Source organism: Homo sapiens, chromosome 3 (assembly GCF_000001405.40).
Source record: "Homo sapiens chromosome 3, GRCh38.p14 Primary Assembly".
In the NCBI taxonomy this organism is placed as follows: domain Eukaryota; kingdom Metazoa; phylum Chordata; class Mammalia; order Primates; family Hominidae; genus Homo; species Homo sapiens.
The window spans coordinates 62,569,095-62,589,203 of NC_000003.12; the positions used below are offsets into that span (position 1 = coordinate 62,569,095).

General features: G+C 40.6%; 1 protein-coding gene across 51 annotated transcripts in view, besides 1 other annotated feature; it reads right to left on the bottom strand.

The window, feature by feature from the left end:
• The window catches only part of CADPS (calcium dependent secretion activator), a 477,069-nt gene that overhangs the window by 170,747 nt on the left and 286,213 nt on the right, over positions 1-20,109 (bottom strand). For all 51 annotated transcript variants that reach the window (NM_183393.3, NM_001438352.1, XM_011534199.3 and 48 more), the window contains exons 8-9: positions 16,091-16,230; positions 1,778-1,844 (exon numbers count right to left, since the gene is read on the bottom strand). In NM_183393.3, coding sequence (NP_899630.1) covers positions 1,778-1,844; positions 16,091-16,230 — 207 coding nt within the window. The remainder of the gene's footprint in view (positions 1-1,777; positions 1,845-16,090; positions 16,231-20,109) is intronic.
• Positions 18,140-18,434: a silencer, noted in NCBI's record as "tiled region #14545; K562 Repressive non-DNase unmatched - State 24:Quies". NCBI's record gives its function as "represses a minimal TATA promoter and a strong SV40 promoter by Sharpr-MPRA in K562 cells {active_cell/tissue: K562}" and the evidence as "EXISTENCE:reporter gene assay evidence [ECO:0000049][PMID:27701403]".

A 20,109-nucleotide genomic window follows, 5' to 3' on the forward strand; every position in this document is an offset into this window, starting at 1 on the left:
ATTTTAATTATTTATTTTTTTTGGAGACGGAGTTTTGCTCTTGTTGCCCAGGCTGGAGTGCAATGGCACAATCTCAGCTCACTGCAACCTCCACCTCCCTGGTTCAAGTGATTCTTCTGCCTCAGCCTCCCTAGTAGCTGAGATTACAAGCATGCACCACCATACCCGGCTAATTTTTTGTACTATTAGTAGAGACAGGGTTTCACCATGTTGGCCAGGCTAGTCTTGAACTCCTGATCTCAGGTGATCCACCCGTCTCGGCTTCCCAAAGTGCTGGGATTACAGGCGTGAGCCACCGTGCTGGGCAGCCGTGGGTTATTCTGAGGGACGGGCATCATTCCAAAATGTTCTTTGCGGCTAAATCACTTTAAGGTTTTGTTCTACCCTACAACAATACTGAAAGCAAAGATGACCTCTTGCTTATTAGAGCCAGAGAGCTGTATTTTGCCTTAGCGGCACAGCAGAGACTTAAGTAGATCTATAGACAGTCTAGTCTTAGAAGTTCAGAGTTGGTGAAACCCTCAAGGTCATTTAGACCTAAAAGGGAGTTGCTTTGTAGTCAGGTCTCTGAGTATAAAGCACTCTAAATATTGGTAGCACTCTAAATATTAATCCTAGTCAAGTAACCCAGTAAGAACCTTTGTCACTCAGTTCCAAGTTGACTCACTTTGTGAAATCTTTCAGAGTATAGCATAAATTAGATTTCTGCAAATTGAATTATAGTTTAAATGCTCTGGTGGAGTCTGAAAATTAAAAACAGGCACTGGAAAACTTTGTAAACTGAAAAATCCTGATGCAAAAAATAAACACCCTCCCCTACCAAAAAGATGGGGTCTTTCAAGGACAGGTATTACTATTTCTGGAAAAAAATTTAAGAAATGCTCAAGAGTAAAGGTGTTATTTATATATGACTAATGTATTAACATCAATATCCGCATCTACATTTGTATCCATATACACAGATATTCCCTGCAGCCTTGTTAAGAATAGCCCAAATTGGGAAAGTCCAGAAGTCTATCCAAAAGGGAAAAGTTTACAGATATGAGAGCCAGAGCTATATATGTAAACATTGAAAGGTATCTAAATAACTTGTGTGGAAAAAGCAACTTGCAGAACAACTTGAAGAATTTGGTTTGTTTCAGTTAAAAAAAAAAAAAAGAAGTTTAATAGAAAAATTTATCCTAGATATTAAACATAGTTATGGGACGTTGGCTAAGACTTTTGGAAGCACCAGGCACCAAGAAGAGTAGAGCACTCCCACACAGATAATTCAAATTCAAACACACTAAATAATAAAATAGAGGCAAAAAGTCCAACTAAATTCTGACTTTACTCATAATGCCTATCTCAGTTCTTTTCAAAATACTACATTGTTTTCAGCCAAAGTTAATGTCCCTATAGCCCTCACTTGGCATGAGCTTGCTCCCTTCTGGAATCCTCCATCCCTGGCAGGAGACTGGGCAGGGGTGGGAGTCTACTCTCCCCGACTTATCTCACATACTACTGTATTGTTCGAATTAAAAAATTATGAGTATTCATTAATTTTTTAAAATTTAAAAGTGATATAAAAATAGAGAATAGAGCACAAGGGAGCCCTTTGGGTATTGGAAATGTTCTGTATCCTCCTCTGAATGGTGGTTACATGGATATATGTAAAAATTCATTAAGCTAAATGCATGAGCTCTGTGTATTTAAGTTATACCTCAGTTAAAAAGCATTCATTCATTCTAGCAAATCTTTAATACTGATGTCTCTTAAGAGTTGAAGAGTTAGTTACCTGCACCAATACAAAAAACCTTTTCTTCCATCTCTTCCAGACATTCTTACCGATGGCCCATAAATACCTAAGGGAAAGGAGAAAGACCAGAGCTGCATTAATGCTTGAGTGAGTGAATTGTTGAACACACTTTGCCGTGAAGCTTGGTACTTATAAACAAGGAAACGCACATGGCTCAGGAACGGGGCGCAGATTTTGGAGCTCTGTGGTTGAGCATAAACAACAGCAAGCACTTTTCACTTCCACTTACAGGAGGAATTGAGGCCTATCATGAGACTTAGACTCCTTGACTGATTCCAGAAAGCACCTTGGAAAATGTGACGCTGCAACTTAATTTGTGTATGTGCTAAAAGTCTTTTAGGTAGGGGAACTCCTGAAAGACATTGCACAGGAAAGAAAAAAGAGGGTGCTAAATCTCACAACTCTTTTGCATCTTGTCAAGTTTCACTCAGGAAAACCTTCCCTTGTTTTCTTTTGCTGTATTGCAGGTGTATTACAGGGAGGAATGCAGGTACATTACAGGGAGCAAATTCCAAGTCAACATAGGAAGGTCTCCCCACTTCCTTCCTCCTTCTCCAAAAGCTCTTCTGTTGAAAGAAATTAATTTTTTTATACAGAAAAATAAAATAAAACGGAGGGTTGAGAACTACAGAGGCAGAGCTCAAAGCCGTCCGGACATGTTAAGATAAATATTACTTTTTTTTTTTTTTGGGACAGAGTTTCACTCTTGTTGCCCAGGCGGGAGTGCAATGGTGTGATCTCAGCTCACCGCAACCTCCTCCTCCTGGGTTCAAGTGATTCTCCTGCCTCAGCCTCCCAAGTAGCTGGAATTACAAGCATGCGCCACCATGCTTGGCTAATTTTGTATTTTTGATAGAGATGGGGTTTCACCATGTTGGTCAGGCTGGTCTCGAACTCCCAACCTCAGTTGATCCACCCGCCTTGGCCTCCCAAAGTGCTGGGATTACAGGCGTGAGCCACCGTGCCTGGCGTAAGGTCAATATTACTAATCAATTCATGTATTATCCTATCTGCATTGTGGATTGTTACATATTGAACTGGCACCGATCTAGGAATCCAGGCCTGGCATTTTTCAGGCTCTATCCAACTAAGAAAGGAGAGATCTGGTCATACCGAAATACATTCAAATACCGAGTTCTAAAACTGGCTTTACCTGTCTACTGTCATCAACACCCACTGGAAAACTTCCAAATCCTCACTTTACCTCAAATCAGACAGAATTTCTGCTTTGGAACATAATGAAGAATGCACCTAATTAAAATTTTTCCTGCCTGACAAATTTCAGGGGCCCTTAAGAGTGGCTGGCAGCCAAAATCTATTCAGATCTTCAAGCCAGAAACCCAGGAGTCATCCTGGGTCCTTCTGTTTCCTCATCCTTATTCCTCAGTCGCCAAGTGCAGTTGAGTTTTTACCTCCTGGGGAGTTCCTCACGGCTCTGTCTTCCCTCTTCCCACTTCCACTATTTCAGTCCCCACCCACATTTTTTGCTTCCATGGACAATTATAGAGGAACCTCTTAATTGGTTTCAGGGACACGAGAATGATTTTCATCCTATTCCTGGAAACGAGACAGAGCTTACCACCTGCAAATCTTATCATGCCTTTTCCAAGCTAAAATTCCTTCAGTGCCTCCCCCCTACCCCCACCATTTATATGAAAAGTGCCTCAAACTTTGGCCTCTTACATTTCATCATTGGTCCCACATCTGTTCACCTATTCTATGATTTACTTGACATTTTTCTTTAAATTAACTTACTTAACATGAATAAATCTATTTTGAAAAGTAAACTATATTATAGGCTTGATATACCAATTATACATTATGTAGCACATATTAAAATACATAAATGATTACACTTGTCCCTCAGTATCTACAGGGAATTGGTTCCAGGACCCCTGAAGACATCAAAATCCACAGACACCAAAATCCACCACCCTTACATAAAGTGGTGTAGTATTTGCATGTAACCTAAGCACATCCTCACATATACTTTTTTTTTCTTTCTTTGAGATGGAGTTGCACTCCGTCACCCAGGCTGGAGTGCAATGGCATGATTTCAGCTCACTGCAACCTCCACCTCCTGGGTTCAAGCGAGTCTCCTCCCTCAGCCTCCTGAGTAGCTAGGATTACAGATGTGCACCACCATGTCCGGCTAATTTTTGTATTTTTAGTAGAGATGGGGTTTCACCATGTTGACTAGGCTGGTCTCGAACTCTTGACCTCAGGTGATCTGGCTGCCTCGGCCTCCCAAAGTGCTGGGCTTACAGGCGTGAGGTACCTCGCCTGGCCCCTCCCATATACATTAAATCTTCCCTAGAGTACCTATAATACTTTGTACAATGTAAATACTATGTAAATAGTTGCTCTACTGTATTATTTTTTATTCACATTATTTTTTATTACGGTATTTTTATTTTTCCTTGCTTTTCTCCCCCCACATATTTTCCATCCATGGTTTGTTGATTTCTCAGATGTAGAACTTGTGGATGGGGAAGGCCAATTGTATTTGATCCATGCTCGTCTATATATCATTAAAACCATCTTGTGCACTATCAGTGCCATGAATGCACTTGGGAAAACTTTAGCCTATAGGGACAAAGTCCAGCATCTTGACCTAGCCTAAAAAACTTTTAATTTTCCATCTCTGCTTACCCCCTTGACTTGGCTTCTGCCCATTGTATTATCTACATTGTGTATCTGTAATTCCTGACCACACCATAAAAATTCACACCTCTGTAACTTGGTACAACCTATGCTGCCTGGGATGCCTTCTCCCTGCTCCTCATGGGAAAACTCATATTCTCCCTCAGTTTAAACCTTTACTTTGATGTCATCATCTCCTAGGCCTTGTAGATAATTCTGCTGTTACAGTTATCACACAGCTTTAATTTATTTGTGGTTATATTTATTGTTCCTACTGAACTGTGAGTTTCTGGAGGGAAGGAACCCTGGTCCTGCTTTCTAAATACTTAGCATAGAAACATGTTCTTCTTTCTGAATTCCTTTCAGTTCCTGATAGATGGTAACTGGTCAATAGACATTTGTTATAGTTCAGTTGGTTTTAAGTGCCATGCTCTTGCGAGATCAGAGCGATCTTTTTAAAGATTTCTGATGAGATTTTAAAACACTGCATAAAAACATGTAATCCATTGCCAAGTTCTTCAAGCTTTCCTTCCCAAATGTATCCCATCTCATTCCATCCCCACTGCAACTCCCCAGTCAAGTCACCATCAACACCACCTGGACCATGACAGGAGTCCGCTAACTGGCCTCCCTACTTTCCTTCTCATCTCTATGCTCCATTCATCCCATGGTAGCTAGACTGACCTCTTAAATGGGTAAATCAGATCGCCAGTATGCTGATTCTAAATATGAATGGGAAACTATGGCAGGGTTTTAAGAATGCAGGAGGGGTGACACCATCATATTTCTATTTAAGAAGATCTCACTGGCTGCTGGATAGAGAATACACTGTAGGAGGAAGCGGGGCAAGAGAGAAAGCAAAGAGATTAGTGAAGAGCTGGTCACAGGGGCTCAGGCAAGAGAGGTGATGGCTGGACCAAAGCTGAGCCAGGGAGCATCGACCGGATGACTGATAAGTTTATCAACCTTGTGCTGCTGATGAGGCCAGCACAAACAGCTCTGGGGTTACATAGATCATCTAGCTGTCCTGGTCAGTGCTTAAAATAATATATTAATGTTTTCATGCAGTAAATAGACATAAGAGGGAGGTTCAGCCAGGGCTAAGGAGACAGATTATTGGCTTGTAACAGTTAAGAGTATAATCTTCCAGTTCCAGTTCTACCAGTTACTGTGAAATGTTGGTCAAGATGCTTAACCTCTTGGTGCTCTGTAAGACAGGTCAGTAATGGTTCCTAACTCACAGGGCTGTTGTGAGGATTAAACGAGACAGTGCTTGTGAAGTATAAGCATGAGGCATGTCAGGAAGTAGGTGTACAATAAATGTCAGCTTTATTACAAAATCTCTGTACGGACAGAGAAAATGTATCATTTTAGCAGCAAACAATAACTTAAATATGTGAAAGGAAATCTTGGACTTAGGTACAAAGGGAAGTAGATGACTTCAAAGATCAAATTCAGGAAGTGGGCAAGAAATTTTGTAGTTGTTTTAGTAATGACTAGCAAGATTGTAACAGCCTCACACTTTTCTGGAATTATATCTGGCAGCTACTAACCATTTCCCTTTACTTTGCATCCATAGAAAGAGATTTGCAAAAACGAATATAGCTACAATATCTATTGTGTATATAATCATAAGACATGAGAATAAAAGTAGAAAAAGAAGTTCATAGAACCCATAGAGTGTAATTCATATTGAATCATTAACTATTTCTTCATAATAAAAACAATAGCTACTACTTAGTGAAGTGTTACAAGTTTTCTGTGCTGTGCCAGTCACTTTATGTGAATTTATTACACTCATCTGGAAGAGTTAAGTGCTTAAATCTGGAGATATGTTACCCAGATTCATGTGCAAACTTGGGCAAATAAATTACTAGAGTTATCTCTACTTCAGTTTTCTCATCTTTACAATGGGGATAATAATAATGGTACCTACCTCAAGGGTTGTGAGGATTAAAGTAGAAATATAAAGTGCTTAGAACAATAGCTAGCTTAAAGTAAATACTTGCTATTAGATATATCATTATATACTATTATTCCTATTTTACAGTTGAGGGAGCTGAGGCTGAGAAAGTTTAAGTAACTTTCCTAGGTTCCACAGCTGATGAAGGACACAGCCAGAAATTAAACTCAAAACAGCCTAACTCTAAAGCACCCTCTTCTTCACACTCTTCCTCCTTCCTTCTAGATGACAAACTTTGGTTTCTTTTTTTGAAGTAAGAACATGAGTCACGATTCTAATTGAACAGAGGGGATTTCTGGTTAAAGGCTTCCGAATGGGAAAGCTGGTGGGATCAGAGAAAAAGTAACAATTTTCCTTTGGAAAGTCTGCTTGAGGGAGGGGCTTTCCCTCTGAGGTTTTCCTCGGAATTTATTGCTAATTTGGCACATACCAGAAGGTGTCAAAACCAAGAAAAACTGAGGGCTGAGATGTACTGTTTCTGTCTAGTCAGCTCCGGCTCTGCGTTTTCTTGGGTGGAAACATGCTCATTAAATAGGATACACAGTACCTGGAGCAGATGGAAGTTCTGTTATTGCAGACATACAGGTGGCTTCCCTCCTAGCTCCTCACACTACAGGCAGATCTATTTGTGTGGGCATTAGTGGCCCTGAACTCTCTGTTTTCAAGCTGTCCGGGTATGTGGAAATCTGGATTTACCAATAGACAAAGCAGTATTCTAATGTAGTCAGTGGCAGTTTAGACGAGTGGTTATATCTCAGACTAAAGGAGAAACACCTAAGTGGGAATTCTGGCCCTGTCATTAACTTTCCTTTGGCTTAGCTGCCCTGTGCCTCAGTTTCCTTAGCTGTAAGATGGGGATAACCTAACAGTTACTTTATAGAGTTCTTGTGAGAACTCATGGGGGTGATATGTGTCAAGAGCTTAGCACGCTCACTGGCACGTGGTAAGGGCTGGATAAGTATTATTGTTATTGTTGTTATGTGTGCTACTATTTGTAGTATTAAAAATAGCAGTCCTCACGGTGGCTCACACCTGTACTCCTAGCACTTTGGGAGGCTGAGGTGCACAGATCAGTTGAGGTTAGAAGATTGAGACCAGCCTGGCCAACATGGTGAAGACCCATTTCTACTGAAAAAAAAAAAATTAGCTGGGCATGGTGGTATGCATCTGTAGTCCCAGCTACTCGGGAGGCTGAGGTACGAGAATCAGTTGAACCTGGAAACGGAGGTTGCAGTGAGCTGAGATCACACCACTGCACTTCAGCCTGGGTGACAGAGCAAGACTCTGTCTAAAAAAAAAAAAAAAAAAAAAAAAAAAAAGCAGTCCTAGTAGAAAGAGTAAATAATTTTGGGTGCACATCTGTTGGGAAGGAAAGTGAGGTACACATGTCTGGGTTTGGAGCTCCAGGCCATATTTTGTATCATGATTTGAATGTATCCTCTCTTATGATATTTTTGTAAAATTCTTGCTACTGGGTCACTGACATCTCTGTTATTCACTGGGGACGTTTTAGTTATATGAGAGACCAGAGTGAGCGAGCTACAAAGGATTAAAAAAAGAAGAGGAAGATTCATCTGTGTTCAACTTTAGTTCCAGGAATCCCCCAAAATTGCTGAATCCTGGAAGACCCCTCTGGCCTCAGTGTCCCTCTGCTCTGGGACTACTTGGTAGGGTAGCACCCATGGCAATGCTTGTAACTTTTCATTTGAATAAAAAAATGAGGCAGTCTTCTCTCATATGGTATTTGTGAATTTAACGTGAATTAGTAACATGGCTCTTTTTATTAAATATCTACTCTTGGAATTTTCAAGTATACAATGTATTGTTATTAATCATAGTCACCATATTGCACAATAGGTCTCTTGAACTTATTCCTCCTTGTCAGAAATTCTTCATAAAAATTTCTTATAAGAACAGAAGTTGCAGTGAGACAAGAACCATGATTCCTACAGGGATGCTTTTGTCCTCTTCTTGGGTGTCAAGGAGAAGATGGAGAGCAGGGAGACTCCAGGTACCTCAGCTATCTTATAGCAGCCCAGCAAGAAGAAGCATGGGCTGGAAAAAAGTACAAAGAATAAATGAAAGCAAATAACAATGATGATTACAACCAACACGACTAACAACAATAACTCTTCTATAGCTGTAGCTATTAACCATGTATGAGACCTTGTTCTAAATACTGCACATGTATTAGCTCACTTAGTCCTCACAACAACCCTACAAGACAAACACTGTTGTTATTTCTGCTTTACGTTGAGCAAAATGAAGTCCAGAGGGGTTAAGAAACTTGCCTACAGCTAGTAAGTGGTTGTGGCAGGAATTGCATTCTAGGCGATTTGATCTAATTGGCATTTAGGGATAACAATACAATAAAGAAGACAAAGTAGAATCACAAAGATATTCAGCTAATTCCAAAGAAAGCAGAAAAATAGGAAAAAGGTAACAAAGATCAGATAGGACAAACAGAAAATAAAAAGCAAGGATGACAAACAACAAAATAAGTTTAAACCTATCAATAATAACATTAAATGCAAATAGGCTAAATATCTCAACTAAAAGGCAAGGATCTTCAAATTTGAGTTAAAAAGTTAGACCTCACTCTATGCTGCCTATAAGAAATGCACTTTTTAAAGACACGAATAGGTTAAAAATAAAAAGATAGAAAAAAAAAGATTTACCATGCTAACACTTTTTTTTTTTTTTTTTACAAAAAAGGCTGGAGGGGCTATATCACTGTCACACAAAGTAAATTGCAGGTGAAGAATACTGCTGGGGATCAAGAAGATTATTTCATAATGTAAAAGGAGTAAGTCAATCAAGAAGACATAACAGCCGGGTGTGGTGGCTCACGCCTGTAATCCCAGCACTTTGGGAGGCTGAGGCAGGCAGATCATGAGGTCAGGAGATCGAGACAATTCTGGCTAGCACGGTGAAACCCTGTCTGTACTAAAAATACAAAAAATTAGCTGGGCATGGTGGCGGGCACCTGTAGTCCCAGCTGCTTGGGAGGCTGAGGCAGGAGAATGGAGTGAACCCGGGAGGCGGAGCTTGCAGTGAGCCGAGATCATGCCACTGCACTCCAGCCTGGGTGACAGAGCAAGACTCCGTCTCAAAAAAATAAAAAAAAAAAAAAGACTTAACAATCTTAAATGCTTCTGCATCTAATAACAAAGCTTCAGAATATATGAAGCAAAACCAGACAGAACTACAAGGAGAAACAAATTTAAAATTCTAGTAAGAGCTTGAGAGCTTCCTCTAAATAAATGAAAATCAGTAAGGATATAGATTCTTTGAACAACACTATAAACTGACTTGATCTAATTGACGTTTATTGATAAGAAGTCAACAAGGGAGATAAAATGAAACACTAAAGATATTTGATTAGTCTAGTCCAGTACCCTGGTTTCAGAGTCTGTACCAAAAAGCATGGTGTCTTGGAGACCTATGAGGAGGAGAGAAGTGTGATGATTTTGAAGAAAAAGAGGTCTAGAACAGTGGTACAGCTACAGAAATGGAAGGGGAAAAGAGATTTTAAGAAGATAGCCAAGTGTTACAAACTGTATTCCTTTTGAAGTTTGTTAAATATAAAAGGAAAATCAGAATTGCTGCAAATTACTCCCGGTTGGTGGACTGTGGTTCATTGAATGAATTAAATGTGGAGTCATGAGGAGCTCTCTATTTTAGTCAAGCTTCAGGTCCTCAGTTAAGGTTGGATCGAAAGCAATAACTGTGGACCGAGCTCTAATGCTTACTCTGACTTGGGCAAGTCTTTTAACCACTTTAAGCTCCAATTTCTCTAAGTGTAAATGGGGGTTCATTTATTCACTTATTCATCTAAACAATAAATAATTCACTGGACTTTTGCTACATGTCAGTCTCTGTATGAAGGTCCTATGAAAAAAGGAAACAAATTTCCCTTCTGACAAGGAACTCACAGTCTAGTGGGGAAGACAGACAACAAACTAATAAATAAAGAAGTATATGATATACATGATAAGAGCTCTGGTGAAAACAAAACAGAGTAAGAGAGAGAGGGAGGACACAGCGGGGCCAGGTAAGGCTTTCTGATAAGGTATAGAAATGTTGGAGATCTGGGTGAAAGGGAAAGGAAACAGCCAGGACAAGGGTCTTGAGATGGGGGTGTACTTTGTGCCTAGGAGGAAAAGCAAGGAGGCCAGTGTGGCTGGAACAGTGATCAAGACCAGGTACGTAGGGTCTTGTAGTCATGGTAACAACACTGGCTTTTACTCTGAATGAGATGGGGAATCATTGGAGGTTTTCCTGCATTCGAGTGGCAGGATCTGACTTGTGTTTTTTAAAAAAAATTGCTTCACAGTAGGAAATAGGCTACTGGGAGGCAGGGGCAGAAGCAGGGTACTGCTTACGAGGCAGGAGCAGCAAGTGAAGGGGAGCAGCAATGGAGGCTTGGAAGCCAATGGTGAGATGGAAGCAGGGGTGAAAGGTTGAATTCTAGATTTATCTTGAAGATGGAGTGAAAAGAATTTGATGACGGCCAGGTTTGGTGGCTCATGCCTGTAATCCCAGCCCTTTGAGAGGCTGAGGTGGGAGGACTGCCTGAGGCTAAGAGTTCGAGACCAAAGGACTATAAATCATGCTGCCATAAAGACACATGCACACGTATGTTTACTGTGGCACTATTCACAATAGCAAAGACTTGGAACCAACCCAAATGTCCAACAATGATAGACTGGATTAAGAAAATGTGGCACATATACACCATGGAATACTATGCAGCCATAAAAAAGGATGAGCTCATGTCCTTTGTAGGGACATGGATGAAACTGGAAATCATCATTCTCAGTAAACTATCGCAAGGACAAAAAACCAAACACCACATGTTCTCACTCATAGATCGGAATTGAACAATAAGAACACATGGACACAGGAAAGGGAACATCACACTCTGGGGACTGTTGTGGGGTCGGGGGAGTGGGGAGGGATAGCATTAGGAGATATACCTAATGCTAAATGACGAGTTAATGGTGCAGCACACCAGCATGGCACATGTATACATATGTAACTAACCTGCACATTGTGCACATGTACCATAAAACTTAAAGTATAATAAAAAAAAATAAAAAAAAAAAGAAAGAGGCAAGAAAAAAACCACTGACTGTATATGAGAGAAATCCAATAAGATTAACTGCTAATATCTCATCAGGAACAATGAAGGCCATAAGGCAGTGGGAAGACATATTACAAATGCTAAAGACTAAGGGTAAGAGAATGTGTGCCTTGCTTAAAGTAATGAATCTATAAAAGATTAGAAATAGAAATTAAGCCTAAGTTTTATTTCTCTAAATCAGTTAGTTTAGTAGTATTCAATGGATCTCTGACCTAAATAGACATAAAATTTCCCTGATGTTCTTATTTAAAATGCAGATATTTGGACTACAACCTTAGAAAATCTTATGCTGGATTTGGCATGGGTTTCAAGAATCTGCATTTGAATGTGCTTTAGAAGTAATTTTATGTGGGTCATTTGAATTACAGTCCAATAGCACAAAGAGGTACAGTAAAGAGTGATCATGGAGCTAGAGAGATAAGCACTGGAATCCTCATTCATCACTATCTGCCTATTTAACTGGTGTAAAGAAGAAGTTTCTTGCATTTCTAGTTGTTATAGTTAGTAAAAATGGTAACTCTAATATCTTGTAGAGCTGTTGTAAGAATTAAATAATATATATGAAGCTAACCGCCAAATCTGATAGGCATTTGTTTTCCTCTCATTCCTACTTTCTTGCTCATTCTGCTGGCATTCCCATTTTCTGATGCTACCTTCCCCTAAAACCATAATTATTTTCATCTCAAATTGTAACTTATTTTTCTTCTATTATGTCTTTTCACAAGAAAAAAATAAATTTTAACTGAAATTGTCTGTTTGGATAATTAAAATAAGGACATTAAATTTTGAACCTGGTTAGAAAATTAAAAAAAAAAAAAAAAAAGGAGTTCGAGACCAGCCAAGACAACATAGTGAGATCCCACCTCTACAAATTTTTTTAAAAAAACTTAGCTGGGCGTGGTGGTACATGGCTGTAGTCCCAGCTACTTGGGAGGCTGAGGTGGGAGGACTGCCTGAGCCCAAGAGGTCAAGGCTGCAGTAAGCTATGATAGCACCTTTGCACTCCAGTCTGGGTCACAGAGCAAGACCCTGTCTCAAAAAGAAAAACAAAAATTGATGGTGGATGAGAAAGAAAAATGTCAAGGATTACTTCAAGGTTTTTGGTCTGGGTATCTGGGTGTCGGGGGGGCATTTATTAAGATGGGAGAATGATAATACCTAATCCTTGTGAGGTGGTTTCAGTGATAAAATGAGAGAATGGATGTGAATGCACTTCCTGAACTTGAAAACACCATGCAGATATAAAAGATGAAAATTAGAAAGGCATCTAGGAGTTGCTGATTCTCAAATATGCCCAGATACTAACATTTTAAGGTCAAGAAGCAGTGTTGATTTTTCCCATTGACACATTTCTATTCAATAAAGTTATTCTGAATGGCCCAGTGGCTCATTCAAAGAACCACAGTGCACACCAATATTCATAATTCCCAGTGATTCTTATGTTCCTTTTATGTTAGAAAAAACCTTAACATGGGAACAATTTATAACCTCAGCTATGCTTCTTAAAAATTGCTTTTTCGGCAGGGCGCGGTGGCTCATGCCTGTAATCCCAGAGCTTTGGGAAGCCAAGGCAGGCAGATTGCTTGAGTCCAGGAGTTTGAGACCAGCCTGGCCAACCTGGCAAAACCTCATCTCTACCAAAAGCACAAAAATTAGCTGGGTGTGGTGGTGCACACCTGTGGTCCCAGCTACTTGGGAAGCTGAGGTGGGAGGATGGCTTGAGCCTGGGAGGCAGAGGCTGCAGTGAGCAGAGATCACACCGCTGCACTCCAGCCTGAGTGACAGAGCCCCACCCCATCTCAAAAAAATTTTTCTTTTCCTTTTTTTCTCCCATTTTCCAAGCTGTGACATTGCTCTCATATTTCTACCCTCCTTTACACAACTGGGCTCAGTAAAACTATTTTAAGTTTAAATGGAAAAAAAATGTACTCCATAAACATTTTTATTTTCTCTGAATAGTCCCTTAGGCAACTAAGGTTGCTCATCCCTGATTTAGGCCACGTTGGGTCCGATGGTGTTATTAAGGCACTCACCGTTCACTTTTCAGAGCTATTTTAAGCTCTCTTGGTGTATCTCCTGGCAGGGGTAATTTTAAAATGGAAGTCCAGCAATATGAAATAGCTATGAAACCTGTCAGAAGTGAGCTACATATTTCTTCTGTCATCTGTAGGGTCAAGGTAGCCTGAAATATGTTAATAATTTTACAAACAAGTCAACACAAAAATTCCCCAATCCAAATCAGGTAGTTCAGTTTCTAGCAGAGTGAATGAAGAGAATGTGGGAAATGGGCATTCATCCAATAGGGAAAATAATACCTGTGTCAAGTGGTTGCTGTGGAGAGTAAGTGACACAATAAAACTCCTAGTACAGTGCTTCAGAGAGAACTCGAATGTAGGTTGAGGCACTGATCATTTTTTTAAAGGAAGTTTAAAAAAAGCACTTTAGAGGACAGATACATTCATTCATATTCTGTTCTTTATTTTCTCTCTTTGATCTGCCCTACCCTCTTTGTCTCTCTCTCTCTCTCTCTCTCTCTCTCTCTCTTTCTACGTCTGTTCTGCTCACTCATGTGCTGGTTCCTTTAGCAAATATTTATGGAGTATTTATGAGGCAGGATTTTGCTAAAGATGAAGATCTTCTCTTGTGTACTACAGAAACCTAACTGAATTATCAACTCCTTTGTCTTGAAAGTAGGATGTTCATCACAGAGGGGGAAGACATATTAGGGAGAAATTCCACGAATATTGTCAGAATATATACCAGGAGCATGATAAGAAGGAAGAACGGTAGACCTCAGCAATGTTTCACGGCATTCTAATTTAATCGAAGAAAACCTGGTTGTACTTCATCCTGGACACTTGACAAAGGACTGAGTGTGTCCTTAGGGCCCTGCACATGCTCCTGTGGCTTTTTCACACCCCAGGCAGAAGAGCTTTGCCATAATCCCAGCTCAGGCTTGGCATAATTTGGCCTCAAGACAATGCAAAGCAAATTCTCTAAATCCAAACCAAACCTTGGGTTGAGTCACTGGTCTCCAGCTCACAGGTGACCTTTGCTTCCTCTGGAACCCTTCATACCTGAACCTCTCTGGTGCCCTGACTGGTAGGTCTTTGTTTTTCTCTGGAACCTTGGGCTTTTTTTGCTTCCTAGAACTCTGAGGCACCATGGCTAGGCTCCTGTTCTTTACTATCTGACTGCATGCTGCTGTGGTCTGCTCATCTACTGGGAAGTTCAATTCCTGTCCTGGTCACGCCCTCCTGGACTTCATGTGGGCTTCTGTTTAGACCTGTCTTAATCACGGCTAGGCCCTGAAATTGGGTTTGTGAATTCCCCAAACCTCTAGTACATCTACCCAATCCTCTTTTTTTTTTTTTTTTTGAGATGGAGTCTCATTCTGTTGCCCAGGCTGGAGTGCAGTGGTGCAATCTTGGCTCACAGCAACCTCTGCCTCCTGAGTTCAAGTGATTCTCCAGCCTCAGCCTCCTGAATAGCTAGGATTACAGGTGCCCACCACCATGCCCAGCTAATTTTTTTGTATTTTTAGTAGAGATGGAGTTTCATCATGTTGGTCAGGCTGGTCTCAAACTCCTGACCTCAGGTGATCCTCCCGTCTCGGCCTCCCAAAGTGCTGGGATTACAGGCATGAGCCACTGTGCCCAGCCGTAACCCTCATTTTTAATGGCACTTTTAGTACTTTGAGCTTTATCATCAATATACATATACCCAAAAAAGAATTAACGAGACCTCTCTAGGGCCCAGAGGGGCTAAGCAGAATGATAGCCAGTTGGCAGCGTACCTGCAGAATACCCGCCAAACACTCCATTCCCTTCTACTAAACTTTCCCTTTTCAGAGTTACACGATTATCATGTTTTCTGAGATAATGACATCCATGTGATTTAGTTTAATAGGTCATGGCTCAGCATATACTCAGTCACCAACAAACATTTGCTAGAAAAATCACTGGTCTTATTTGGCATCTTACCTATTCTTTTTGCTTTACTTGAAATTAATTGGTCATTTTTCTCAAACCTTAAGAAAATGAAGATGATCACAAATTTTCTATTTTTTTCTCATTCATTTAAATGCTGCACTAAATACTAAAATATATTAAATGTGAGTTGATTGAAGGTGGCCTCTCCCTGCTGCTCACACCTCAAAGATGTGGGTTGCTGATTGAGGTGCAAGTGAGTCATATGCAGAGTTTGAATGATCTGGATGCCTCCGACAAGGTACGCGGAGCCTGTAAGACCTCTCCAAACTAGAATCACCTAGCATGCTGCTAGGAAAGTTTTGAATTGTCCTAGAAACCGTATTAGAGAAAGAGAAGGACATTTTTCTATTTTGACAGCAAAAATGCAAATACAGTCATCCTAAGAATTGAGGAAGTTTACAGTAAATATCAAAGTCGAATATTTTAATATGAATTCTTTATATTTCCTTCTACATAGTTCTCTGAAGATCTTGTGTTTATTTTTGTTTTCATTTTGAGAAATGAACAGACGTGTGTCCAAAACTGCTAGTTGGGGAAGAAACACTTACCCAGAATGCTTCATGTTTTGAGGCTTATCCATTCGGACAGCAAGTTTGATTTTGAGATCTTGGTCGGGGCAGTTTTTGGAGACTGTCATTTTGTGCCACTCTGACTGTTTGGGGCTGTTCGGGGTGGGATGGAGAATAACCTGTAGGGGAAAAAGGACAAGCAACTAGAAAAGAGAAGCACCATTATGTTTTTATAGATTAGAAACTTTGATTCTGAGTAGTGGAGTGACTTGAACAATTCCCACTGTGGAGCAGCCATACCTGGGGATAGAAACACATTCTTTTGATCCTTCCTGGCTAATTTTGTAAAAGTAAAGATTTCTGTAATTCTGTGATGATTCTGTCATGAAAATCATGATCTCTGTGATTCTGCTTTGACTTTTCTAATGTTCAGACGTACTAAACAAACCCAGAATGGAGAATATTGTCCACACATTATTCTCTACATCTTTGTATAAGAAGATGGATGCATAAAAGGAAGAAATATGCTTATATATTAGACAGTCCTTTTAGTCCACTCTTTTTCTCCATTCTTTAGGATTTCTTTCACTTTTCAAGAGGAGAAATTCCTCAAGGCCCCCAGGGGAAAATGGAAGGAACCTTATTAGATGGATGAGAAATGTGAGACTCAGGGAAGGAAAGGGACTTGATTGGAGTCACACATTTCAACCTGATTTCACCTGGCCTGGAAATCTTATCACACAACATCCAACTTTGCCCGGGCATGGAGGAAAGCACACATGACTTGAAGAAGGACCATTTCTTAGGAAATGCCTTTCATCAGTGTGCTTCAGAGATGGCAGTTTGATTTGGGTCTTCTGCATCCATTCTTATTGTCTGGAATTCTGAGAGTGAAACAGGAAGTGAGTAACTCACTAAATCCACTTTTCGCTTTGTGATCACGGAGTTCTCAGGAGACACATGGGATCTGGGGAATATGCATTTAGGGAGGAATTGAATATTTGGAAAATCCTTGAAACTAAGGGAACATGAACTAAATATAGGCACAACAAAAGCTGGGCTTGCTAAGATTTGCTTCTGTGATGGCAGCACGCCCTGGTTTGTGGCACATTGTTTTGGCTGTTTTCAAAGTATTTATTTTCTCTAGGTGCAAGGATGGCAGGCCCCTTTCCTGGGCTTCTTTCACCTCTGGAGGTGGCCGTGAGGGGCTCATGGTCTTATGGGTGGACACTCTGGCCTTCTAGATGCTGTATCAGCTTCACTAGTCATGCAAGCTTGGCCCATGCTTGAAGGGCAGACACATATGGCTCCCTGTGTGATTGTGAAACAAGACTGCTGAGAGGAGGAGGAGGAGGCCATGGCAGAAAAAAAAATCAGCCCACTTAGATGTGCTTCATTTATGCCGATTTCTCAGCCCTTCTCTTTCTGGGCCTGACCCTTTTTCTTCATTAAGTTCCCTGTCTCTGATGAAATATACATTCTTGCTAACCACAAATTTCAAGTCTTCCCACTGTCTTATGACATGATTGAAATACAGAAAAGCCTGATTTTTCAGAACAGAGGCTGTCAATGTTTTTTGATCATGCCCTACTTTAGTACAATGTTGTTGAGCAATTAGCCCAGTATCTGTATACTAACATTTTATATTACATAAGTTTACTTTGTATTAATATATTACCTTATCACATATATCATAAAATATACAAAAATCAAAGATGGGCTAAAGATTTAAAAATCTACATTTTGGAATAACTTGCTAATTGTGGTGGCTGTGGTGTTATTAGCTATCTTTAAGGTACCACATATATTTAGGGCAAGGTACATTGTTGATGACATTGGTTATAAATCTGTAGTTTGAGTTGTCTTCTCAATAATTTCGTCATGTCTTGACTGACATCTTGTCCCATCTGATTACATTGGCATTGTTTTTATCTCATGATATGAGTGACAGAGTGTTTGCCAGTAGGTCAGGTGTTGGCTCCACCATTTTCTTGTTTGCCAGGCTTGCATTGCTAGTACTACCTCCAAATCAGAGCTTTTGTGCAGTTATCTTCTGAGGTCGCTTATTTTGTAAAGGTTGATTTAGTTAAAGCTCCAGCATAAAATGTATAAATTCACTTAACTGGCACCAGAGAACTGCAACATATCATAGGACAGATGCTGGGAGGAAATGAGTGAGATAGGGCACTGCTGGGTTGTGGAGACCTCTCCCTTTTCTCCAGGAACTGCCTGTTCTTACACGTCACCCTGTATCATGTACCACATCCCGAGGCCTGACACTTTGTGGGAGCTGCTGATTTCAGTGAAGCTGACCCTCCATCCTGAGCTGGTCTGGCCTGAGAGAGGTAGGGGTGAGATGTGCTGGGAAGCCAGAAAGGGAGGTGCTGGTAAGAGACACCCCATCCAGGGCCAGAACCGCGGTAAGTAAGAAAGGCCCTGGGCTTCTGTCTGCTCCTGCCTGTTTGGCAAAATCACAGAGGGAGCAGTGCTCTGGGCACCCGCAGCTCATTAACAGGCCTTTCGCCATATGGATTCTGGGCGTGCTTCCCACTGGCAATATGGTGTCCATTCGTGACGCAATAGCCGCAGCTCATTACCGGCTATGCCACAAAGACTTTGTCCCCTGTGCAACTGCTTGCTGGGGAGCCCTCTTTTCCAGGGTGGATGGAGAGATGAAGTGACCACAGCTCTCTTCTGTCTTTGCCCCCACCCTGCCATGCCTCTGACAGGCTGATGACTCATTTGTATGTGTCAGCACTGCTGAATTATGAGGGTCCTTCTGGGTGCACATGAATCCCAAGCAGACCAGACACCTCATCTGGACATTCCAGGCTGCTAATCAAGCACTTTGTCAATTCAGCCGAGGACCATGTGTGCTGCACTTTGATGTGGGGATGCTGATGTGGCCGCCACGACCCACCCCCTGAAGTAGCTGCACTCCAGCCAGCCGTGGCTTCTCCTAGTTGCCTGGGCACACAGGCAGGGCCTGCTAGGGGGCTGCTTTACCCTCAGCCTTTACCTGACAGATCCCCTCCTCGACTTAGCCTATATCTCTTCAGTACCTCTTGCATACCCCAGGAAAGAATCCCTGTCCCTGAGACTGTATGACTGGATTCTGCCTTCTTGCTAGGTGCTTCATTTCCAGGTCTTTCTTTTTTTTTTTTTTTTCCTAGCAGAACACTTCCCACATTGCACTATAATTTCTGTTTTTATGTCTGTGTCCCTTATGCTTTGTGAGGTTAAGGGTTTTTTACCAGTCATTATTCCTATTTGCTCTGTGCACAGGACAAATGATTGGACACAGAGGGCCTACAATCCTATAATATTGCAGGGTTGGGAAGGATGCAGGAAAACAGGCATTCTCTTATGCCTTTTGTGGAAGGATCAATTGGTGCATGCACTTTAGGGGACAATTTGGCAGTAGCTGTCAAATTTCAAATTTCAGTCAGCAAAATATTTTTTGAAAATTTATTCTATAGATACCCACACATATACAAATAAATAAATTCAAGGCTATTCACTGAAGCATTGTTTATATAGCCAAAGATGAAATAATCTAAAAATTCATCCATAGAGGATTTGTTAAATAAAATATATCTACATAATGGAATACAATGTAGCTATGTAAAAAGGAGACAGGTCAGTCTAGGGTCATATGAAAACTAATCACCAAATATAATGATTTCAGGCACCATGTAGAGAAGTGTGTATATAGTAGCTTCCAACTGTGCTTTTTTTAAAAGAGGGGGAATATATACATATGTGCTTATATACGCTATGTTGGTACATGCAGAGACTATCTGGGGAAGGATACCATAAATTGAAAACAAAATCTTTCTCTGGGAAGGGATACGAGGGTGAGATAGAAGAGAAAAATTAATTTTCACTATATATCAATTTTAACTTGTTTTCACAATGTGCATGAATTTTTTTTTAATTAAAAAGGTTATTAAAAACAAAACATAACCCTAAAGAAACAAACCAAAAAGTGGTTGAATAAGTAAATGTAACGCCAGGATTCTAAACACAGGTCTGCTAAGTGTGGGAAGAATTCGAGC